The sequence below is a fragment of the Homo sapiens genome, chromosome 14 (assembly GCF_000001405.40).
Source record: "Homo sapiens chromosome 14, GRCh38.p14 Primary Assembly".
Classification (NCBI taxonomy): Eukaryota; Metazoa; Chordata; class Mammalia; order Primates; family Hominidae; genus Homo; species Homo sapiens.
The window spans coordinates 105,312,015-105,334,907 of NC_000014.9; the positions used below are offsets into that span (position 1 = coordinate 105,312,015).

Here is a 22,893-nt window from a genome sequence, read left to right on the forward strand (position 1 = left end):
GGCTGGAGCCGCCAACTGACCAGTGCTGGCCCTGGAGGAGGCCCCTCCCCCACTCCCCGACTTCAGCAGGGCCTGCTGTGTGTCTGTGTCATCTTAGCCCAGGCTGAGGAGATGAATGCGTTTCCAAGCAGCCCATGGTCCTGGCGCCCGACTGGAAAAGCCTGAGCCTTCACCCTAGGTGGAGGGACCTAGCGAAGCCAGGCGGACAGAGGAAAGGCCTCGGCCCATCCTGTCCCATGACTGGGGGTTGGGGCTTCGTCTTTTTAATACCAATGGAATCCTAGCCAAGCATTCAGAACCTTGAAGCTTTAACTTCTTAAATAATAATAACTCCCACAACCTCCGGGGACCCCGGGCAGCACGTGGTAGGACCAGCTTTCAGGTTGTCCTCCTGAGACCCCAGGGCTCTGAAGGATCCTCTTCTTGGACCTCCTCCCCAACCGTGCCCAGCCACCCCAGTCATCCGAGAGGTTTGTCTCAAACCAAGTTCCTGCTTTAAAGAAAACGCTACCAGAGAAAGCACCTGTGCTCCAAACACGGGGGTGAGGGCTCACACCATGCCAGGGTCATAGCATGGGGAGGGATGCCTCCCAGCCTTCAGGGGATCTCCTCCTGTGACCCACAGCCCTCAAGAGAAGGACCAGCACAGCATCATTTTCCGACAGAGGAGGGCAGTGCAAATAACAAGTTCTGGCTAAAAAGTTACTCTGATCACCCAAGGGACATCTGTGCACTTGGAAAATACAGAAGACCACAGTCCCATCACCACCATCCCACCTTAAAAACAAACATAAACGTGGTCGCAGGCGTGACACATGGTGTGTTTCGTGTCCCTGCTTTCCTGCCTGGCAGAAGCATTGATGTAGACCCACCATACGGGTTCTTCGGGCCACTCTGGTACAGACTGTGTGGGTCATATCCCGACCCCTGGCAGCTGCATAACCTCACAGGCCGCCATCTCCTCTTTTGTCACTTGGGATGGGACAGAACTGTCACGTCCCTTAAGGGCTCACAACGGTGCCTGGCACAGAGGAGGGGCACCGCTCAATGGTGGCAGCTGGTGCCAAGCCCTGCTGTGCACGGCTTAGTCACCCCGCATCTCCTCACTTGACCCCCAGTTGTAGTCCCTGCCTGGGTTAGACGCTGGCATACACAGGCACCATGTGTCAGGCGGCCCATCCGTCTGACTGCAACTGCACGCTCGCCAGGTCCAGCAGCGCCGTACGCTCAGTTCTGGGGTCAATGGGTGCCTGTCTCCTGCCCTCCCATCACAGACAGCCTGTCCTCCTGGGGTATGGCTACCCCCTCTCTGGACATAGTCACTTCTCCCCCTACCCTGTCTCAAAGGTATGAGATCCACCGGCCCTCTGCCCGCCGAGCAGCTGGCCAAGGTCAGACAGACCCTCATGGCTCTCAGTGTACCACCTTAGAGGAGCCAGGGGCGCGTGGGAAACACAGAGTCCCTTGTTCTCTCCGAAGTGGGACCCTGACTTTAAGCAGTCGCAGCTGTTTGCAGTTCTAGATACAGGAGTTACAGCTGGAGGCTGAGCTCTCTCAACGGAGGAAGCAGCGGCATGAGGGCCTTTGCAGAAGGAGCTGACGGGGCACTGGGGTGGCAAGCCCCGTGGGCCAGGAAAGAAACCAGCTCCAGGTCAATTTGCTCGGGCTGGATTTGTTTCAGTAAAACTACTTGTAGACAAGACACAGGGCGAAGAGAAAAGCAACTGTAAACTAACTGTGAAACAAGGAAACAGAAGAGAGGCCAGAAAACCGTTTCCTAAATCTCGGCTTGGCATCTGGTGCTGGACCACAGCCGCTGCCAAACAGATGGGGGAAGCACCCTCCCTGAGCCCCAGAGCCTACACGTCGGGCCCCAGCGGCTCTAGCCATTGCCTCCTCTTTGCTTGGGTCCCCAAGTTCACTGTTAACCCCAGGGCCAGGAGCCAGCCTTGGCCCCAGACATTTGTTCTCCATTGTCCTGAGCACAACGCTGAAAAGCGGCGCTGAATAAGGATGCTGGGACGCAAAGAGGGCGCCCGGGGTCATCTGGAGCCCTGGAGGCTAAGCTCGGCAGCCTGGCGCCCCGAGTGGCTTCGAGTCCCCGCGACCGCCGCCAGGCCCGGCCACCTCCTTGCCACCTCCCTGCGTCCCGGGGAACCCACGCAGGGGGGCGCGAGGGAGGGGCTCGGGGACGGGCGGGGCCCGCACAGCCGGGCCAACCCAGCGGGGGTCGGCAGGAGACAAGGGGCGGCGAGGGCAGGGGGGCGGGGAGACTCGGGGCATGGCGGGGTGGAGGCGGGAAAGTGTCGAGGCCGGGGAATCCGCGCGTGGGGAGGTGGGCATCGCCAGGGCGACGATGAGCTTTCCTTAGGGGGCGGCGCCTGAAGCTGGCCGGGACCCGGTGGACCCCCACGACTCTCCCGGCCCTTGCCCGCGGCTCCCGGGGGGCGGGGCGGGGCGCCCCGGGCGGGGTCTGTGCGCAGGCGCGTGAGTGCGCGCTCTCGCGCACCGGCGGGCGGGGACGCCCCGTGAGGCGCCGCCGGAGGAAGCGCGCGCGCACCTCACTTCCGGCGCGCGCTGCGCCGGCGGCGATTGGACCCGAGGCGGCGAGCTGGCGCCCCGCCCAGCCAATCGGCGGCGCCGGCGCGGGTCGGAGGGCGCCGGGCGCGCGCGGGGCGGCCGGGGGCGCGCGGGGCGCGGGCGGGGCGCCGGGCGGGGCGGGGCGGAGCGGCCGCAGCTCGTCGCCGCCCGCGGGCCTGTCCGACGCCGGGGCCCGGCCCGTCCCCTCCGCCGCCCGGCAGCCATGTGACCGCGCCGCCGCCCTCCGCGCGCCCGGCCCGCCCGCCGCGCGTCCGCGGCCCGGCCGCAGCCCCAGGCCGCCGAGGGAGCGGCGGGGCCGGCGCCATGGCCGAGCGAGGCCGCCTCGGCCTCCCCGGCGCGCCCGGCGCGCTCAACACGCCCGTGCCCATGAACCTGTTCGCCACCTGGGAGGTGGACGGCTCCAGCCCCAGCTGCGTGCCCAGGTACGCGCCGCCCGCCGCGCTTTGTTCCCGCCGGGCACCTGCTGGGGGTGTCCTGGCCGCGGCCTCTGCGCGCCCCATCCCCGGCCCGGGTCCCCCAGCGGAGCCCAGGTCGCCCCCCGCGCCCCCGCCCGCCGGTTCGACGCGTGCAGCCGCCGCCCCCCCGCAGCTCCGGCAAGCGCGGCCCCAGCCCCCCAGGTCCCGAGCACCGGGGGCCGCGCTCAGCTTCCGAGGACCCGGTGCTGCTCAGACCCGGCGGGACCTTGGGGCTCCCGGGCGGCGCTCACCTGGCTCGCCGCAACCGCACCTGCACACCTGCCTCAATGCGGTGCCGGCCGGGGTGACGAGGGTGCTTCCTCTCTCGGGTACCACACGCTTCCTTTCGCGTTCGGCGACACTGTCAGACCTCGGCCTGGGAGCGACCCCCGGCGCACGGGGCGCGCAGGACTCGGTTGTATCCTCCGTCCAGCGCGCGGTGGAGATGCCCTGTCCTGCGGGGCGGGGTCGTCCTCGCGGGTACCTGGTTGGCGCTGTCTCTCATTTAGAGGCGTCGCCAAGCCAGTACTGCTATTTGCGCCTCCCAGTTGATCTTGCCATTGCGGAAGACTGGCTGTTCTGCACTTGGTAGGGGGGCGCCCGGTCGCCCAGCGGTAACGATTGGACAGGGTTTACCCTCCGGCCATAGCCCAGCCTTCCTTGGACTTGCAGCTTCCCTGAGTCTCCTGCTCAGTTTGAAACTTTTGTAATTTCTTCGTGACTTGGTAGTTCCTGCTCAGGAAGCTCCCAGGCTAAGGAGGAGAGAGACACGCTCTCCGGAAAAGTTCTGGTTCTAGAATAGACAGCAGGCGAGAAGAGGAGGCGGTTGGGGGTAGTGAGAGTTCTCCCTGGGGAGATGGGAGGGTGAGCGGACCTTCCAGGCACTGGAAGTGGCCAGTATGCCTGGAGGGGACCCCACGTGGCATTGAGTTGTTCCACCCCTAGTCAGCTGCAGGTGGGCCTCTCCGTGCTTTCCTGTGGCTCCCACAGCCTGCATCTCTGAGCGTGGTGTTGGAGTTGCAGAGCCGCTGGACAGTGGGGCTTGCCCTCCTGGAGCGCAGGGTTGGGACCTCGGGGCTTTGGTTTTGCTGAGTGGACAGGAAGGATGCCCACCCGGCACGACTCTTGCACCTGGCGGGGCCTCCCGAAGGACCCAGTGTCCATATGAGACCTAAGGGTCAGCATTTGCCCAAGGTCTGGGGCCGAGCACTGCAGATGTGCCTGCTTGCCTCTCTTCTGGGAAGTCTCTGGGGCCTCAAAGCCAAAGCCAGGAGCATCTCCCCAGGCCTGGCTGCTTCTCCATTCCAGGTCTTGGCGATTGCCCCAATGTCAGGTCCCACAGCCCCACAGCCCTTCTCCTGTCTGCCCCTCTGAGTCACTGCCTCACCCACAGCCCCAGAACCTTCATGCGGGCTGTTGGCGCTCCCCTGCTCCAGCACTGCAGCACATAGCCTGCCCTTGCTGAACCTCTGCAGCAGCTTCCTGGGGCCCTCCGAATGAGCAGCAAAGTCTTTAACCCAAGGGAGGTGGGGGCGTGTGGCAGGAGGGGCCGGGGGCCTTATCAGCCCCCCTGTGGAGCTGTGCTCTATTCTCCAGGGGTCTAGAAAGCCCACTCTGGTGTCTGTGGGGAGGGTATGGGTAGGGCGGGTTTCGAGAAGCCTGGTTAGGACAGGCGGGGGTAGATGGGGGCACCTGGGCTGGGTAGCACTAAGTGCTGGGGGGGGTCCCGAGCTCTGGCCTGGACAGGGTTGGGAGGAAGGGTAGGCAGGAGGACAGGATTTGTTCTGTTGGTGTGGAGTTAATGGGCGGAGGAGTTAATGGGCGGAGGGGCGAGTGGCGCAGCTGACCAGGTGGGCAGATGCAGTTTGTTCGTAGGACATGCTCAGCCTCATAATGAGCTCCTGCCCTTACCTGTCCTGGAACAGGGCCCCTCATAGGCGGGCTTGCCCCTAGCTTTGCTTTGTGCTTGTGCCGCCTGTCCGTGCATCCTCGGACAGTCTGCTACTTAGTTTTGCTTTGTTCCTCCTGAGTTCTTCTGTACTCCTCACTTTTGCCCAGCCATGAAGCTTCTGGGCTGCGTGTGTGCTGATGCCTTTCGGCGTGTTCACTGCTGCGTACTATTCACTGGCGTGACAGTACCTCGGCTTTGCTTCTGTCAAGGGACCTTGGCTTGTTTCCAGTTTTTTGGTTAATTACAAGCCCCGTGCTGCTGTGGACATCGTGTGCCAGTCTTCTGCGTGTGTCTTTCTGGATGGGCAGGGCCTGTCTTAAGCATGTACCGCCAGCTACCAGGATTTATGGTGGGGGTGTGCACGCACTCAGCGTTACTGCTGGGCAGTTTTCCAGAGTGGTTGTGCCTGCTCCGGCCCCCACTGACAGGGACGAGAGTCCCCACTGCTCCACATTTGTGCCAACACTCATTTGACTTAATTTTTGCCAGTCTGGTGGGTGTGAAGTGGTATCGTGGTTTTAACTTGAATTTCTCTGATTACTAATTTAGGCCATTTGTACTTCCTTGTCAGTGAAATTCCTGTTCCTTTGCCAGTTTTTTTTTCTCTTTTTTTCTGCTTGAGTTTCAGCAGTTTCTTTAGAGATAGTCATCCTTTCTCGGCTGTGTTGAGGATGTCCCCGTCCAGTTATGAGCGAGTCTTTGCTCTCTGAGCAGCCTCTGGGTGCACTCCCCGTGTCAGCCTGGTGGAGTGTGCACATTGACTGTTTGCCAGGCTGGGGTGCTGGTCTCGTTTCGGTTCTCCTTCTGGGAGGCAGCCGGAGAAGTCTGCCCCCGGGAGCTTGAACTGGGCATGCTGGGCTGTTGTTGGGGAGGCCTGTGCTCCGGGTTTCCTTGCGACGCTTTTGGCTCAGCACTGTTACACACGGTGCTCCTAGGTGGTCCACGGGGTATGCGTCAGTGCCTGTCTGTGGCCTCTGCCTCCTGGGTTCCCAGAGTGTCCTCCTGGTGCCCATGTCCCTGAGCGCCCCCACCTGCTCTTCAGCAAGGGCTGGGCTGCTTTGTACCTTGCCCTTCCCACTTGATTGTTTTTTCGGTTGATGTTTATTAATTTGTTTTTATTTATGTATTTTGTTGTTGTTGTTGCAGAGACAGGGTCTCCCTATGTTGCCCAGACTGGTCTTGAACTCCTGGGCTCAAGTGATCCTCTCACCTCGGCCTCCCGAAGTGCTGAGATTACAGGTATGAGCCCCTGGGCCTGGCCATCTGTTTGGTTTTTAGAGACAGAGCCTCACTTTGTGGCCCAGACTGGGGTGCAGTGGCTTGATCATGGCTCATTGTAACCCCTAAAACCTGGGCTCAAGCAGTCCTCCCACATCAGCTTCCTGAGCAGCTGGGACTACAGGTGTACACCACCATGTCTGTCTAATTTTTTTGTTTTGTTTTGTTTTTTTGAGACAGAGTCTCACTCTGTCACCAGGCTGGAGTGCAGTGGTGCAATCTCGGCTCACTGCAACCTCCGCCTCCCTGTTTCGATTTTCCTGCCTCAGCCTCCCAAGTAGCTAGGACTACAGGCGCCTGCCAGCATGCCCGGCTAATTTTTGTATTTTTATTTTATTTATTTATTTATTTATTTTTATTTTATTTTATTTTATTTTGAGATGGAGTCTCGCTCTGTCACCCAGGCTGGAGTGCAGTGGTGCTGTCTCGGCTCACTGCAAGCTCCGCCTCCTGGGTTCACACCATTCTCCTGCCTCAGCCTCCCGAGTAGCTGGGACTACAGGCGCCCGCCACCACGCCCGGCTAATTTTTTTTATATTTTTAGTAGAGATGGGGTTTCACCGTGTTAGCCAGGATGGTCTCAATTTTCTGACCTCGTGATCCGCCCGCCTCAGCCTCCCAAAGTGTTGGGATTACAGGCGTGAGCCACCACGCCCTGCCTATTTTATTTTTTTGAGAAGCTCTGTCGCCCAGGCTGGAGTGCAGTGGCACGATCTCAGCTCACTACAACCTCCACTTCCCGGGTTCAAGCAATTCTCCTGCCTCAGCCTCCTGAGTAGTTGGGACTACAGGCGTGCACCACCACGCCCAGCTAATTTCTGTATTTTTAGTAGAGACAGGGTTTCACCATGTTGGCCAGGATGGTCTCGATCTCTTGACCTCGTGATCCGCCCGCCTTGGCCTCTGAAAGTGCTGGGATTACAGGCGTGAGCCACCACGCCCAGCCAGAATTATCTTTTTAAGTTTCACACAAAGCCACATTTGGTTTATAATTGGAAGTTCTTTAACTCTGTAGAGCAGGTTGGGGAGAATTGACGTTTGTGTGGTACTGAGTCTTCTCATTCATGATCAAGCTATTTACTTAGGTCTTGAATGTATTTTGAGAGTTTTACAAGATTCTGCTGTCATGCATATCCTTTGTTACATTTATTCCTAGATGCTTGTATTTTAGAAGTCATAGTAAAAGTCAGCTTTTTATTATGTTTGTTGCTAACATATAGAAATTCAGTTGATTTTTCAAAGAAATCAGTGATTTTACTATTTTTAACCTAGTAACTTATCTATAGATTATTTTGTATTTTCAAAATGTATGTTTTGTCTTTTGCAAAAGACAAAGTTGTTTCTTTTCAATCCTCATACTTTTCTTTCTTTCTCTTGCCTGACTGTGCCAGTTGTCATAGTACAGTGTTGAATATGGTTGGTTGCGTGGATTACCCGTGTTCTGTCTTGACCTTAAGGAAGGTTTCCAGTGTTTTACCTTTAAGGACGATGTTTGCTGCAACTTTTTGTGGATAGCCTTTATGCACTTAAAAAGTCTCATCCTATTCATGACTTGCAAAGGCTTTTTAAAGAAATCATTATGAGTGGATGTTGAATATAATCAAGTACTTTCATTAAGAGGATTATATAATTTTTATCTTTTCATTACTATTGTGGTAAATTACATAAATTGATTTTATTTCTTTTCTTTTCTTTTTGAGACAGAGTCTCGCTCTGTTACCAGGCTGGAGTGCAGTGGCGTGATCTCAGCTCACTGCAACCTCTGCCTCCCAGGTTCAAGCAATTCCCCTGCCTCAGCCTCCCAAGTAGCTGGGACTACAGGTGTGCACCACCACGCCCAGCGAATTTTTGTATTTTTAGTAGAGACGGGGTTTCACCGTGTTGGCCAGGAGGGTCTCGATCTCCTGACCTTGTTATCCGTCCACCTCAGCCTCCCAAAGTGCTGGGATTACAGGCGTGAGCCACCATGCCTGGCCGTAAATTGATTTTCTAACATTAACCTATTCCTGGAAAAATACTAGTTTAAGCATGTTGTATTACCCTTTTTAAAAATTGGTGGATATATATTTATTTATGTATTTATTTTTTGAGACAGGGTCTTGCTCTTTTGCCTAGGCTGGAGTGCAGTGGTGTGACCATGGCTCAAGCAATCCTCCTGCCTCAGCCTCCTGAGTAGCTGAGACTACAGGTGCATGCCACTGGCCTGGCTAATTTTAAATTTTTTGTAGAGATGGGGTCTCACTATGTTGCTCAGGCTGGTCTCCAACTCCTGGCCTCAAGTGATCCTCTCACCTTGGCCTCTCAAAGAGCTGGGACTCCAGGTGTGAGCCTCCCTACCTGCCCACATTGGTGGGTTTAGATGATAGTATCTTGTTTAGGACTTCTGCATGTGTGTCTGGGGTCTATGTGCTTCCTTTCTTCTGTAGTCCTTAGCAGATTTTGGCGCTAAGATTTCCTTGTGAAATGAAATGAGTACTGCCTCTTTTGCTGTATCGTGGTATAGCTTATGTAAAATTGGAATCATTTCTTCCTTGAATGTTTGGGATAATTCACTTATAAAATAACCTGACTGGCCGGGCCTGGTGGTTCACACCTGTAATCCCAGCACTTTGGGAGGCTGAGGTGGGTGGATTACCGGAGGTTAGGAGTTCGAGACCAGCCTGGGCAACGTAGTGAAATCCCATCTCTACTAAACATACAAAAATTAGCCAGGCGTGGTGGCACGCACCTGTAATTCCAGCTACTCAGGAGGCTGAAGCAGGAGAATCACTTGAACTTGGGAGGCGGAGGTTGCAGTGAGCCCAGATGGCGCCACTGCAAAAACATTTTTTTTTGAACCTGCTTTCTGGGTCAGTGTGTCAATTTTAATGCACGTTCTGTTTATACTTAAAAGGAATGTGTGTTTGGCAGTTGATGGTGCAGTGTTTGTCTATTAGATCAAGCTTGGTTTACTGTGGTCTTCAAGTCCGTTCCCTTTTTTTGTCTACTAGAAATGTATGTTAAAATCTTATAATCTGAGAATAGATTGGTCCGGGTTTTCTAACAGTTCTGTCAGTTTCTGTTTGATACTTTTTTTTTTTCCAGACAGGATCTCACTCTGTCACCTAGGCTGGAGTGTAGTGGGACGATCACAGCTCACTGTAGCCTTGAACTCCCAGGCTTAATCGATCCTCCCACCTCAGCTTCCCGAGTAGCTGGGACTACAGGTGTGCACCACCACACCTGGCTAAATTTTGTATTTTTTGTAGAGACTGGGTTTTTCCATGTTGCTCGGGCTGATCTTGAATTCTTGGGCTCAAGCAGTCTACCTGCCTCAGCCTCCCAAAGTGCTGGGATTATAGGCATGAACCACTAACGCCCCGTCACTTAATATATTTTTGAGGCTATGTTATTAGGTACATACATGTTTAGAATTGTAATTCTAGGTATTTTGAACTTTTCTCATTGTATGACTGCTTTTATATCTAGTAATGCTTTTTGTCTTTAGTATTGACTTTGATGCAAGCATTCTTTTGGATAATTTTTGCCTGTTAGCTATTTTTCTATCCTTTTTAAAAACCTTTGTATATCCTTACATATTAGATGTGTCTTTGGTTATTCAGCATGTATCTAGATTTCATTTTCATTCACTCTGACCTTTTCTGACTTTTTTTTTTTTGAGACAGAGTCTCGCTGTGTCGCCAGGCTGGAGTACAGTCGTGCAATCTTGGCTCACTGCAACCTCTCCTCCCGGGTTCAAGCGATTCTCCTGCCTCAGCCTCCCGAGTAGCTGGGACTACAGGCGCCTGCCACCACGCCCAGTTAATTTTTGTATTTTTAGTAGAGACGGGGTTTCACCATGTTGGCCAGGCTGGTCTCGAACTCTCGACCTCGTGATCCGCCCGCCTTGGCCTCCCAAAGTGCTGGGATTACAGGCTGAGCCTCTGTGCCCGGCCTTTTTTTATTTTTATTTTTTATTTTTTGAGACGGAGTCTCTCTCTTTTGAGATGGAGTCTTGCTCTGTTGCCCAGGGTGGAATGCAGTGGCGCAATCTTGGCTCACTGCAACCTCCACCTCCCAGGTCAAGTGATTCTTGTGCCTCAGCCTCCCGAGTAGCTGGAACTACAGGTGCGCGCCACCGCACCCGGCTCATTTTTTTGTATTTTTAGTAGAGACGGGGTTTCACCATGTTGGCCAGACTGGTCTCGAACTCCTGACCTCAAATGATCTGCCCGCCTCGGCCTCCCAAAGTGCTGGGATTACAGGCATAAGCCACCACGCCCAGCCTACCCTGTACATTTTAATGTGCATAGTTAATTGTATCTTTACTCTCCTGCTGAACTATGCAGGGACCTTAGCCCACTTTATTCTAATCCAACCCTTTCATGTTTATATTTATATGATTTTGTTACTGTGTATCTTAATTGTTTTCTTGTGAAGCCCACAAGATGTTGTTACTGCTTTATACTGTGATATTTGATGAGCTTCAAAACTCACCACTTCCTTTGTTGCTCATTCTTCTTGCATGTCAGGAATCATTTTCCTTCTTCTGTTGAATATTTGTTCTTAGGATTTCCTTTAGTGAGGATCTGCTGATAACTACCTTCTCTTTCTGTTTGTCTGAAGATGTTTTAGTTTACCCTCACCCTGAGCAGGGCGTGTGCTGGTTGTACGATGCTGGGGTGGTGTGTGCTCCTCCCACAGGTCCAGGCAGGGCGTCCCTGGCTTTGACTTCCAGCTTTGCTGTAAGAGGTCAGCGGCCGTGACAGGCTGGAGGGAGACGTCTGGGTGGCTTTGTGGTCATGTCATCGTTGCCAACGGTCGTCTCATGGTGGGTCCTGGTGTGGGTTCTCTTGTGATTGCCTGAGTCGGGGTTACTAGACTTGCTGACTTTGTGGATCGATGATTTTCATGAGTCCCGGGAAGCTCTCAGCCACTTTTTCTTCTGCTGTTGGTTCTGCGCTATTCTCTCTCTCACCTCTGGAGCAACAATTGGACGTGTTGCTCTTCCTGCCGGATCCTCCACATCCATAGATGCACTGGGTGGTGTCAGTGGGCGGCGGCTGGCTGGGGCAGTAGCCTGTCTCCAGCCCTTCCCCCTGCCTCTGTCCACGTGCAGGGGCGTCTCCTCAGGACGCATGTTGCCTACTGACCGCTGCCAGCCTGCACGAGACTCTCACGGCGGGACCCTGTCTGCCTTGCTCGGTGCTGCCCAGAGCCTGCACAGTGTAGCTCCTTGGCGGACGTTCCTGTAATGGAACCAGGATGTCATGCCAAGGAGTGTGGTTTCATTTTGAGTGGTGGGGAAGTCGCTGGACTATTTCAAGTGTGTGTATTTGGGAGAGCAGTGCTGCTGGAGTGGTGGACCACACTGGAGGTGGAGATTGCCTCAGGGTGTGCAGGTGGAGATGGGTGGGAGGTGTCGTGCAGGGCTTGGGACAGGGCTTTCGGAGGTGGTCTGCAGTGATCCAGGGAAGATGGGCTGCTCTGAGGGAGGGGCTGAGGAAGCTGACCTGGGCAGCCAGTGGCCTGTAGGCTGGGCAGCACTCGAGCTGGGGCCAAGGGGCAGCAGGACGGTGCCCGTAGCCCTGGAGGCCTTGGGGATTCGGAGGACCTGGCCCATCGCCGTGGCCTGCACGGTGCGTGCACACCGCTCTGTCCGCGCAGGCTGTGCCCTGCTTTCAAGATGCCTGGAAACCTCTGGCAGCTCTGTCCTGCTGTCAACACTGGAGTCACATGTCAGTGGGTCTCCTGCTGGGGACTGGCTTTTGTGCAGGAGATGGAGGGCAGGGGGCTACAGTGCCCTTGGACTAAAGGATGCTTTCCTTGGATCTGGGCACTAGAACCAGCCCTTTCCCTCTCTCTGCCCAGCATTCTCAGCATGCGTCTCAGGAAGGTTTGATGGAGTGGGCAGCTGCGGTGCTGTGGCGGGGTCGGGGGGCTGCTGCAGAGAGCGGGTCTGCGGTCAGTCACAGTGACGGGGGTCTCTTTGGACCCTGTGACTTGTGTGTGGTGGTGGCAGGCAGTGGCGTTGCCGAGACAGGGTGCTCAGGTGCAGGTGGGAAGGGGTGGCAGGATGGAGGTTGTACAGTGCTTTCCCCAGGACCAGGGGGCAGGGTGTGGCGTGCTTATTCCTGCCTGGCCGTGGAGGGTCTCTGTAGGACAGGCTCCCGCTGAGGGCAGCCCTGAGGCCTGTGAGCTGCTGGCCCCGCAGGGTGGCTGGGCCTGGCTGGCTCAGCAGCTGCTCTGAGAGGCAGCCCTAAAAATAGCCGAGCGCTGAGAGGCCGTCCCTTTCTGCTCCGCAGGCGCGCGCCGATGTGTGCTCAGCTCAGGCCGACTTAGCAGGGTTGTGAGAGTGATGAGAGCGTGGCTGCTGGTCATGGTGCTGGGGTCGTCAGCAGCTCCTCGAGGGCTCCGGCCTGTGGAGGCCGGTGGCGCCCCGTCTCACCCCACGGATGGGGGGCAGGCTCTCCAGGAGCCCCAGGGAGCACTGGCTACTGCTGGGCTGCTCTCAGGCCCGGGACATTCATGGCCGTAGCCCCAGGTCCTCTGCATGGTCAGGGGCCATGCTGGGTCCCCTGGGGTGCAGATGCCGCTCAACAGAGGAGTCAGGACCCAAAAGGGGCAGAAATGGGCAAGGGAAGACACTGGGGAAGGGGTGGGTCTGCCCTTCCTGCTGGGGGTGCACACGGGCCTGGGGCTGAGCAACCCGCTCTGGGCCTGGCTGTTCCGCTCCACTGCCCCAACCAGCCTTTCCTCAGCACCCCCTGGCCAAGCTGTGGGCACCCCCTGCCCCCGGACACAGGCAGCACCTGGCCAAGTGCAGAGACACTCCAGCTGGCTCTTCGCCTGTGTCCCAGCCCTGAGGGCACCGTCGTAGGGTGGTGGGACGGGGGGGGGCTCGGACACAGTGGTTGTGGAGGGGTCAGTGCTGTGGCTCGGGGTGGGGTGGGGCTGGGGGAGGGTTTGCTTCAGGGTAGCGGCTCTCTTCAGGGGTTCAGCAAGGAGACAGATGGGTTCTAATGACCCCTGAGTCCTGAGACAAGGTGGGGTGAGCTGGAGCAGGGGAGGGGACTTGGAAGGGCCTTCAGTCCCCATGCAGCCCTTGCACAACCTTTCGGGCCAACATCCTGGGCCTTGCTTGGCAGAGGAGTTTGGGATCCACGGGCTTGAGGCCCAGGTGGTCAGCTCGCTCGGTGCAATGCTGTGTCTCGCATTTCTGTCTCTCGACTGCCCCATCCAGCCCGTGTCCTAAGAGCAGCTGGCAGCAGCCGCCACGCACAGGCAGCTCAGCTCAGCAGCCCCAGGAGCCAGGTGTGTCTTGAGCTGGGCAGCAAAGTGGCCATGCAGTCCAGCCTCCCTTCAGCCTTCCCCAGGATGCCTTTCATCTTGGGGAGATGGCCATTGTGGGGGTGACCAGCACTGTCCCTTCCCTGGCAGGCCAGGATGTGGATCCACAGCGAGGCAGACCTGCAGATGCACATCCCTCTTCTCAAATGCTGTTCTTGTTCTGGTGAGCACGGGGAACGGCACCAAGCCAATGCTGATGGGAAGGGCCCTGACCTTGGGCTGCTGTCCTGCGAGCTTGGCCCCTCTGCTGGGCCCCTCCTCCATGCCTTTGTTTACTCTCCAACCTTCTGGGAGTCCCACATCTGCATCAGGACAGAGGTGACCAGGGACCAGTTGACAGCTAGGATGCCACCAGCATCTTTTGTTTAATTTGAGTCTCATTTCCCAGTGTAATTCTGTAGCTGACCTTGCAGGAGGCATTGACAATATTTCTTTATTGTATGGCCCCAGCCAGGACTTCCCTCTTTTTAGATGCAAAATAATTGGGCAAGACTTTTCATGGGCATTGCATGCTGGGCTCGTGCAGGTGTCTCCAGGGCCGCCTCGAGACCAGCGCCCGCCTCCCTGGTCCTGGATACAGGTGGGGCGGGGGCTCCCCCGCAGCAGTGGAGTTGAGACCCGCACCTGCTTCCTGGTCCTGGACACGGGTGGGGCGGGGGCTCCGCAGCAGCAGTGGAGTTGAGGCTTCCGTATGAGCTCGCTCCTGGTCAGTTTGAGGGTGGACATACCAGACATCCTGCATCTTCCCAGTCGCCCCAGGAGCGCCTCAGGAGGGTGAGTGGCAGGAGGCCGATGCCCTGCTAGCAGGCAGTCCCTCGGGGCCAGGCCTTCCTGGTGCGGTGCTGAATTGGGCTGTTCGTTCCTCTGAGCACCAAGGAGAGGGATGGCGGCTCAGGCTTCAGGCAGTGCCCGCCGGTGCCTCTAGAAGGTGCTCCGTGGTGGGGCCCGGGAGGGTGGCCCTTCCACATTCTCGGGCTGCCTGTGTGCCACCCAAGTGTCAGGTCATGAGGCCCCTCGGTCTGGCCTAGGGCTCTCCTTCCTCCCCCACCTCAAGCCTGGGGTGTGGCCTAGCCAGGGAGGGGAGCGGGAGCTCTGGCCGTGAAGACCCACCCTGAGGTCTGGGCTCTCCTGGCCTGAGCGTGCTTTCTGCTATGAGCTCCACGTTCACCCTGCGGCCAGGACTCTACTGTTCCTCCTGGTGGGAGCTGCTGTGGTGCCCTGGGTGGCCTCCAGTCACCGCCAGCCTGCCCCTTGCAGTCAGTCCTGCTGTTCCTTCGGCTCCTGCAGTTTCCAGCTTGGCCCTGGACTTCCTGTTTTTCCCACCTAGCTGGACGTAAAGGTTGTCGCGCCTTGGAAAGTTAAGTCACTACACCCGAATCGACGCACTCTTGGCTCGCCTGGCTATGGCTTCAGCTGGAAACGGAGCTGAGCGTGGCTTATGTTTATAAATACAGCACCTATCAGGTCCAGCGTCGCTGTCTCCTGCGGGAGGTGTCAGCTTTGGGCGTGAAGAACAGCTGCAAGGCCACAGGGCCAAGGGGTATCTCACCAGCTGGGAGGCCGGCGTGCCTGACCTGGCCACACAGAGCGAGCCTCAGAAGCGAGGGGGAAGGAGGGCAGGCCTTGGGGAGGGGTCCAGGAAGGTCGAGAGGCTGCAGTGGTGGTAGCCTGAGGGGATGTGCGCGGCCAGGTCAGTGCCTGCCGCTACTGCCTGCTGCGCTGACTGCCTGAGCACTGGGGATCGTGGGCCTGAGGGGCGGGGACCTTGGCTCCCGTGGATAGCTCCTGCACCATCCTCTTGCTTCTCAGACCCTCGGCAAGTGGTGACAGGGGGCTGGGGTGGAGTTGTTCTCCTGCCGTGGTCCTGTCAAATGGTGCTGGGGGCGGGGCCAGGAATCACAGCAGGTGTCTGCCGCTAGCGCTCGGAGCCTGTGCTGGGGGCAGGGTGGTGCATCTCATGCCTCTGCCGCTTGCTCACTGTACTTGCCTGGGGAGGATGTGGCAGGGGCAGAGGACAGCTGGCCAGGCTCTTGGACTGCACCTGACTCTGGTGGGCTATCGAAGGTTTTGGAGGTTTCTTTAATTAGCAACATGATATCCAGAGATTGCGACTGTGGCTCGAGCGGTTCCCTGCCAGGGAGCAGGACCATTGACAGCCGAGCCTTGACTCACCGGCCCAGGCCACCCGAGGGGCCATTGACAACTGAGCCTTGGCTCACCGGCCCAGGCCACCCGATGGACCATTGACAGCCGAGCCTTGGCTCACCGGCCCAGGCCACCCGAGGGGCCATTGACAACTGAGCCTTGGCTCACCGGCCCAGGCCACCCGAGGGGCCATTGACAGCCGAGCCTTGGCTCACCGGCCCAGGCCACCCGAGGTTTCACTGCGGATTCTATCAGAACAGTGCCTCCCCCCAGGATTCGTCAACCTTCAGTGGACCAGGCCCTGCAGTGGTTCCAGTTATTCCCTGGGAAAATTTCCAGCACTGATTAGGGGGTGACTCTTGGTCAGAGGTTGAGTGTTTCCCTAGGTGTGGAGGTGCACGGAGAAGAGAGGGGTGCAGTTCTTAAAGGACACATGGCTTATGCCACACCCCCTGCCCCAACCCCCGGAGTGGCCAGCTTTCCTTTGACTGGGGAGGAGGCAGCTGTCCAGGGTTGTCCTCACCTCTCCTCCTGGAGAATGTGGTCCCTTCAGAAAGGGGACCCAGTAGTGGGTGACCTGGTGCAAACCACCCACTGCCTCCTCTGGGCCTTCCTGGGGCTCTTCGGCTCTCAGGAGAGGAGGGAGCTCAGGCTGTGGCTGCTCTGTGAGTTGGACACGGACGCTCCAGCCGCTGGGCCCAGCAGTGTGAATGGCCATAGAGAACAGGGGCCCAGAGGCTGCTCTCGAGGACACTGGCAGCAGTTGTGCTCTGGGCTCGCCATCCTTGAAGCTGGAATATTCCACAAGTGCCACGCACTTGCTGGAGGTACTGCCTGGGGGTAGACTGTGGCCAGGCCCTCCCAGCAGCCCGAGTCTTGGCGCGTGGGCTGGACTCCCACACTCAGCACCTTTCTGCTGACCTGAACACCCAGGGCACAGTGGCAGCGGCGTCATTAGGATTTCCAACTAGCTGTTTCTGTTAAGAGTGAAGAGGAAACCTTGTTTGATTAGACTCATTGTAAAAAAGATTCCAGTGAATCTCTTGCCTGCTGTCTTTGCAGTTGCCTCTAAGGGTCACGAGGCAGGGCGGCGTCCTCTCTCAGTGCCACTGTGACCTGGCAGCACCTCTTTTGCATATTATTGACCTAGAGAGAGAGGTCAATTGTAATTCGGAGCTGCACAGTCGGAAAATTTGTAGCAACAGAGAATTATAGGCGCTCTAGGCATTCGATGAATCTTCTCCACCTTGCTGTGGGGTTAATTCAGGGGAGCAGTGGGGAGTGTGCTGGGAGTGAGATTAGAGGGAGGACTCCCTGGAGGCTGGCCCTGCGCCCTGGAGGCCAGCATGGCCCTGGTGCTGGCTACATCCTCTGGGGCTCTTCCTCATCTGTCTGCAGAGGAGGCAGCTGTGGAGCGAGGGTGTGTACGGGAGCAGGATGGGCTGCACAGAAGCCTTTCCGGGGGTGCCTGTGGTTTGCAGGGGCCTGGCTGCAGCTGCCCTGTGTGATCTCTGTCCCCGTCTTCTCCCGGCTTCCTTGGGTCCTGTGTGCCCAACTTGGCACTTCAAGATTTGCTCCCTGGCAACTGTTGCCTTTCCCAGAAGAGAAGTCCCTGGAACCAGGACCAGCCTGCTGTCACCTGCCTGCTGCTCCTGCCCCACCAGAACCATCCTGAGTCCAAACTGGCTGAGAGTCAAGGGGGTGTTCAGGGCCTCCAGGAGCTCTGGGAGAGTCTAGGATGCTCTAGATCCTTGGGCTCATGGGGCAGTAGAGTGGGGGGCTGTGGTCCTGGGCACCCTCTGGAGAGACCGCTCTGGTGTCAGCCAAGTGGCGGGCACCTTCTGGGCTTGGGGGCGGGGCTTCTCACGATGGCTCAGGGAGGTCCAGACAGCCCCCTTGTCTAGGTGCGCACCTGGAGTCCTTTCCTGCGTGACTTGCAAACAGGCCTTGCAGGGCTCTAGTGTATCAGCTCCCGGACTGCAGGCAGCAGCAAACTCTGCCGTGTGGTACTGCTTCTCATGGACAGGAGACCACCAGGCTCCTTCCAGGAGGGTGAGGTCTCTGCAGCGGGAGCATCCAGGCCTGGAACTCGAGCTGTGGTGTGGTGGTGCCAGCCCAGGAGCCAAGCACAGCCAGGAGATGAAACCCATCCCTGTGGTCTGCACGTCCATGCCAGGGCCGAGCCCCCAGCTGGGATGCCCTGGGAGGGTGCAGGGTGGGCTCTGGATGCCTGCTGGGGGATTTCAGTGAGAACCAGGAAGGGTTGAGCCAGAGCCTCCGAGAAGCCTGGGGTCCATGTGTGGGAAGGAACGGGGACAGGGAGCCTCCGAGAAGCCTGGGGTCCGTGTGTGGGAAGGAACGGGGACAGGGAGCCTCCGAGAAGCCTGGGGTCCGTGTGTGGGACGGAACGGGGACAGGGAGCCTCCGAGAAGCCTGGGGTCCGTGTGTGGGACGGAACGGGGACAGGGAGCCTCCGAGAAGCCTGGGGTCCGTGTGTGGGACGGAATGGGGACAGGAGCCTCCGAGAAGCCTGGGGTCCGTGTGTGGGAAGGAACGGGGACAGGAGCCTCCAAGAAGCCTGGGGTCCGTGTGTCCGTAGGAACGGGGGACAGGAGGTTGTGAAGGGCGTGTGGGTTCCGGGAGGCTCACTATAGTGATGTCCTGCCTTAGACGAGGTCACACAGGGGAAGGTTACTGTGCCGCAGAGTTTTCTTTCCGAGCACTCAATGCTCACCTCCTGGGAGGGAGTGGGGCCGCAGCCAGCCCTGACCCAGCTGGGTGTGTGGCCGCTCTCTGGACCCCCGGTCCCAGGGTGGCAGCTAGTGCAGCCTAGGCCACACCAGCATGACCCCTCGCCCCTGTCTCCACGGAGCACCGTGGGACTCTGGCATCAGAATCCTGGGGCCCCACCCAACACCCACGCATTTCCTGTCTTTTCTCAGGCAATCGCCATGGTACCCAGGGCTGGCCTTGTTTCAGCTTCCTGACGAGTGCCCTGTGGTCAGTCATTTCTGTCCTCGCCTTTACCTCAAATCCTGCTTTTTGCCTTAAGTGCGTTCCCAATTCCATCTCTGTGCCAGCTGTGCCCCATGCAGCCTCTACCGGCATCTCACGTGATGTCAACCTTCTGGGTCCTTGGGGCCTAGCCTTGCTCTGGTGAACGGCTTTGTTGGATGCTGGGGTTGGCATTTTTTTTTTTTTTGAGACAGAGTCATCCTGTTGCCCAGGCTGGAGTGCAGTGGCACAATCTCGGCTCACTGCAACCTTGCCTCCAGGGTTCAGGTGATTCTCCTGCCTCAGCCTCCCGAGTAGCTGGGATTACAGGCATGCACCGTCACACCCAGCTAATTTTTGTATTTTTAGTAGAGACGGGGTTTCACCGTGTTGGCCAGGCTGGTCTCAAACTCCTGACCTCAGGTGATCTGCCTGCCTCGGCCTCCCAAAGTGCTGGGATTACAGGCATGAGCCACCGTGCCCAGCCTGGGTTGGCTTTTAACTGGCAAGTTTAGTCTGTGTTTCTGTGCGATGATATAGTTGCATGTATTCCTGTCATTTTGATCATTTTGATTGTGTTTATTACGTATTTCCTCTCCTAAGTTTTGTTATTTCCTCCTCGGAAATTAAGGAAGGATCAAGACTGATTGAATTTATTTGTATTTTTGAGACAGGTTCTCACTCTGTTGCTCAGGCTAGAGTGCAGTGGCATGATCATAGCTCCCTGCAGCCTCAAACTCTGGGGCTCGAGTCATCCTCCCATTTCAGCCTCCTAAAGTGCTGGGATTAACAGGCACGAACCATTGTGCCTGGCCTGAGTTTTATGTATTACCCACTCCAGGAAATCACTGTAGTCCTTTTAACTGTTACTGATTTGCTTAAAATGTGAAAGGCCTGTTGACATTTAAGGATAGTCAACAACCCTCCCACCCTCCAAAGGAAGGAGAGCTGAAATGCAGGAGAAACAGCAATGCCTTTGATGAGTATGGCTTTGCTGCTACTTTGCTCACCTGTGGCCCTGCCTTTCCCAAGGATAGTTTTTGTTTTCCTGGAGCACATCCTTCAGAAGCTCTTTCAGTCTTTCAGTGCCTGAAGATGGCGTTTTTGTCCCCCTCATACTTGGTGATCACAGAGTTCTTCTAGGTTGACAGTTTTGTCTCCTCGGTACTTTGACGATTGTTTTATTGTCTTCTGGCCTCTGTTGTGGTTTTGAGGAGTCTGCGATCAGCCTGCTCCTTGTTCCTTGTGGGACACATGTGTGATCTGTGGTTGCTTTTAGCGTTTTTATTTTGATTTGGTGCGGATTTGTTATCAACATTGCTTTTGATCCTCCTTGGGACTTACTGAATATGAGCATCTCTCTTCTTGTTTTGGAAGAATCCTCAGTCAGACATTGCATCTCCTTCCTTGGGTGGAAGCTGCTCAGTCACTGTCCTGTGCCTTGCCGTGGGGCTGCCTGTGCCTCTGTGCCTGCTTCTCCTTCCATGGGGAGCCCCTCCCAGCCCCTCACTGGCGCTGGGAAGCACAGTGGTCCTCCCCTCTGTGGGCTGTGTTGAGAAATGTTGCTGGCTAGTCCCAGACCCACAACACGGAGCACGGGGGTTTTGCCTGGTGCCCGTGATATCAGTGGGGAGTGAGAGGAGCAGGTGGCCCCCTCGGCTGTGTTCAGGGTGTGCCTGTGTGGCCGACCACCTCCAGGACTGAGGCCACACAGGAAGCAGTTGGGATTGTGAAAACCCCCATGGGAAGCTGTGCTGATCCTCCCCTGAGCCTGTGACAGCTGAGGGCACAGGCAATGGTGGGGCTCGGTGCCTGGGGCTGAGTTGGGAAGGTTTGGTGTCTGACCCACTTCTTCCCAAGTGGGAGCTCCCTCCTCGGGCACTGCATGGCTTCTCTGCGGGGCCTCTGCCTGGTCCTCTCGTGGGCGGTCCAAGACCTGGAGCCCAGGAGGTGGATTCTGAGGTCTGAGTCCCCCGCAGGACAGCAGTTCCATCCTCTGGTCCCTCTCCTGCCCCCAGGGGCCAGTAGGTTACAGACACCTTCCTGAAACTCCCTGGAGGGGAGCAGCCTTGATTCCTAAACAAGAAGTTGGTCCTAAGTGCATCCTCTTGATGTGGGGCAGAGAAGAAATCTGAGACAGTCTCATGCCCCCACCGCCATCGTCCCCCCACTTTTTTGTGGGGGTGCCCAATCTGTGCTCTGCCCCCTCCCCAGGCTCCGCTCCTGTGGGCTGCGTCGTGGTTTCTCCTCTCTGTGGGACGTGTGCTGGGCCCCTGGGGGTGGATGCAGACCGAGCCTGGGCCCATGTAGACCAACTGGCGTGGGTGTGAGAGAGAGAGACGCATACCCACTCAGGCACATACACGTGCACACACACACCCATGCACGCGTGTGCACACACACCCTGGCCCTGTTCCCTACCAGTCCCCACCCCCTCCTGCTGCATGTGCTCCTGGTTCCCTCTCTTCACCTGACAGCTGGAGTCATCCTCCTGCCCACAGCCGTGCCCTGTGCAGAGCAGGTGCTGGTTCTGCCCTCCCCTGGCCTGCCCCAGGCGGGGACACTACACTGGGAAGCTGCCCCGTTGCAGGCGTTCCCATGGCGCCACTGCTGTGTTAGCTGCCTGCAGCACAGGCCGGCCAGTCCTGGGGTGCTGGACAGACCCTCCTGGAAGCCAGTCCCTGGCCGTCCTGTCCTGCTGGGGGCACAGTGTCTCGGCAGAAGGTTCTGGCTGCTCCCTGGGGTGCTGGCTTGTGTCACCTGGCTTTGCTGGGTCCCAGTGACATGCAGTCTGGGGATGTTCCTGGGACCCGTTGGGCTTGCGGTGGCCACTTGGGAAAGCTGAGCACTGAAAGTGCCAAAACCTGGGACACCTTCTTGCAGGCCCACTCTTCAGCCTTTGCCCCGTGGGCCATTGGGGAGGGAGGAGGTGGGAGGTTTTGGCAAAGCAGCCCAAAGGTCCACACAGACCCAGGGCTGGCAACCGGCCCGGCCTGTCACCCTTCTCACTGAGGGTCACAGCCTGTGGCCCATGGCAGGGCTGCCCAGGACAGGGGCTTGGCCCCGGAGGCCTGCAGTGTGAGGCGTGGCCCACAGGCCTTCCCAGAGGGGGTTCTGGGAGCCTCCCCCAGCTGTCACACGCACCTGCCTGTGCCTCACCCGGGCTAAAATAGCCCCTGCACAGAAACGCCCTTGCTGGGCAGGGCCCATTCCTGCTGGGAGACACCTGTCAGGGCCCTTCCTGCCTGGGGCCATATGGAGTGTCCAGCCTGGGGGTGGTCGTGGGGTGTCGGGGGCCTGGGCCTGGATCCACGATGCCCTGTCTGGTCTAGAGCCTGGCCTGGCTTCCCCTTGGCGTGACTGCCCACAGGCAGTGGCCGCCGTCTGCTCAGCTGCATCCTCCTGCGTTGGGCTCATCTGTCTGCCTTCCCCTGACACCTCCTCCTGCCAGACTCCAGGGCCAAGGGAGTGGGCCCCGGCTGCAGAGGCAGTGCCAGCTAGCTGAGTGGGTCAGGCCACAGACCCCACCTGACTCCAGGGCAGCGTGGCCAGGAGAGCATTGGAAGGAGAGAGCTGTTCCCACCTTGAGGCTGACGCAGACCAGACCTGGCTCTGTCCTGAGCAGCAGAAAGTATGTGCAGGGCTTCACCCTCTTCCCTCTGTCTGTGTAGAGCTCCACCTGAGGCCCAGTGTGTGCGTAGAGTCCCACCTGAGGCCCAGTGTCTACGTAGAGCTCCACCTGAGGCCCAATATGTGCGTAGAGCTCCACCTGAGGGCCAGTGCCTACGTAGAGCTCCACCTGAGGGCCAGTATGTGCGTAGAGCTCCACCTGAGGCCCAGTGTCTACATAGAGCTCCACCTGAGGGTCCAGTGTGTGGGTAGAGCTCCACCTGAGGGCCAGTGTCTGTGTAGAGCTCCACCTGAGGGCCAGTGTGTGCTTGGTGCCCACAGCTGAGTTAGCCCAGGCTCGTGGTCATGCTCACAGGTGCACGTGGCCACACAAGTCACTGAGCACAGACCCAGATGGGATGCAGCTCATAACGTGCACTGCGGGGGGGAGCTGTGGCATCTTTTCCCAGAGCCCCTCTGGTCTGGCAGCCTCGGGAGTGTGTGCATGGTATGGGAGGTGGGAACAGAGCT

The 22,893-nt window shown here is 57.7% G+C and overlaps 2 protein-coding genes across 20 annotated transcripts in view, besides 9 other annotated features; one reads left to right on the plus strand and one right to left on the minus strand.

The window, feature by feature from the left end:
• The window catches only part of BRF1 (BRF1 general transcription factor IIIB subunit), a 106,304-nt gene extending 102,729 nt beyond the window's left edge, over positions 1–3,575 (minus strand). For all 4 annotated transcript variants that reach the window (XM_047431305.1, NM_001440451.1, NM_001242787.2 and 1 more), the window contains exon 1: positions 3,308–3,575. The gene's annotated coding sequence lies outside the window, so the exon portion shown is untranslated. The remainder of the gene's footprint in view (positions 1–3,307) is intronic.
• Positions 1–22,893, plus strand: part of PACS2 (phosphofurin acidic cluster sorting protein 2) — a 97,374-nt gene that overhangs the window by 11,241 nt on the left and 63,240 nt on the right. For 13 of the 16 annotated variants that reach the window (XM_006720090.3, XM_006720091.3, XM_017021105.3 and 10 more), the window contains exon 1: positions 2,734–3,023. The exons of the other annotated variants lie outside the window; for them this stretch is intronic. In XM_006720090.3, coding sequence (XP_006720153.1) covers positions 2,905–3,023 — 119 coding nt within the window. In that variant the 5' untranslated portion in view covers positions 2,734–2,904. Of the gene's footprint in view, positions 1–2,733; positions 3,024–22,893 lie in introns of those variants that run through there. 16 annotated transcript variants of the gene reach the window in all.
• Positions 95–255: a silencer, noted in NCBI's record as "fragment chr14:105778446-105778606 (GRCh37/hg19 assembly coordinates)". NCBI's record gives its function as "represses an EF-1alpha promoter that drives an FKBP-Casp9 reporter gene in an ReSE screen in K562 erythroleukemia cells {active_cell/tissue: K562}" and the evidence as "EXISTENCE:reporter gene assay evidence [ECO:0000049][PMID:32094911]".
• Positions 2,096–2,185: a silencer, noted in NCBI's record as "silent region_6226". NCBI's record gives its function as "represses an Ori minimal core promoter by ATAC-STARR-seq in GM12878 lymphoblastoid cells {active_cell/tissue: GM12878}" and the evidence as "EXISTENCE:reporter gene assay evidence [ECO:0000049][PMID:35858748]".
• Positions 2,286–2,815: a silencer, noted in NCBI's record as "silent region_6227". NCBI's record gives its function as "represses an Ori minimal core promoter by ATAC-STARR-seq in GM12878 lymphoblastoid cells {active_cell/tissue: GM12878}" and the evidence as "EXISTENCE:reporter gene assay evidence [ECO:0000049][PMID:35858748]".
• Positions 2,956–3,045: a silencer, noted in NCBI's record as "silent region_6228". NCBI's record gives its function as "represses an Ori minimal core promoter by ATAC-STARR-seq in GM12878 lymphoblastoid cells {active_cell/tissue: GM12878}" and the evidence as "EXISTENCE:reporter gene assay evidence [ECO:0000049][PMID:35858748]".
• Positions 3,100–3,751: an enhancer, noted in NCBI's record as "H3K27ac-H3K4me1 hESC enhancer chr14:105781451-105782102 (GRCh37/hg19 assembly coordinates)". NCBI's record gives its function as "activates a minimal SCP1, AML or CMV promoter by ChIP-STARR-seq in naive H9 embryonic stem cells {active_cell/tissue: H9 hESC(naive)}" and the evidence as "EXISTENCE:reporter gene assay evidence [ECO:0000049][PMID:30033119]".
• Positions 3,276–3,355: a silencer, noted in NCBI's record as "silent region_6229". NCBI's record gives its function as "represses an Ori minimal core promoter by ATAC-STARR-seq in GM12878 lymphoblastoid cells {active_cell/tissue: GM12878}" and the evidence as "EXISTENCE:reporter gene assay evidence [ECO:0000049][PMID:35858748]".
• Positions 10,906–11,415: an enhancer, noted in NCBI's record as "H3K4me1 hESC enhancer chr14:105789257-105789766 (GRCh37/hg19 assembly coordinates)". NCBI's record gives its function as "activates a minimal SCP1, AML or CMV promoter by ChIP-STARR-seq in naive H9 embryonic stem cells {active_cell/tissue: H9 hESC(naive)}" and the evidence as "EXISTENCE:reporter gene assay evidence [ECO:0000049][PMID:30033119]".
• Positions 16,004–16,513: an enhancer, noted in NCBI's record as "H3K27ac-H3K4me1 hESC enhancer chr14:105794355-105794864 (GRCh37/hg19 assembly coordinates)". NCBI's record gives its function as "activates a minimal SCP1, AML or CMV promoter by ChIP-STARR-seq in primed H9 embryonic stem cells {active_cell/tissue: H9 hESC(primed)}" and the evidence as "EXISTENCE:reporter gene assay evidence [ECO:0000049][PMID:30033119]".
• Positions 20,043–20,928: an enhancer, noted in NCBI's record as "H3K4me1 hESC enhancer chr14:105798394-105799279 (GRCh37/hg19 assembly coordinates)". NCBI's record gives its function as "activates a minimal SCP1, AML or CMV promoter by ChIP-STARR-seq in primed H9 embryonic stem cells {active_cell/tissue: H9 hESC(primed)}" and the evidence as "EXISTENCE:reporter gene assay evidence [ECO:0000049][PMID:30033119]".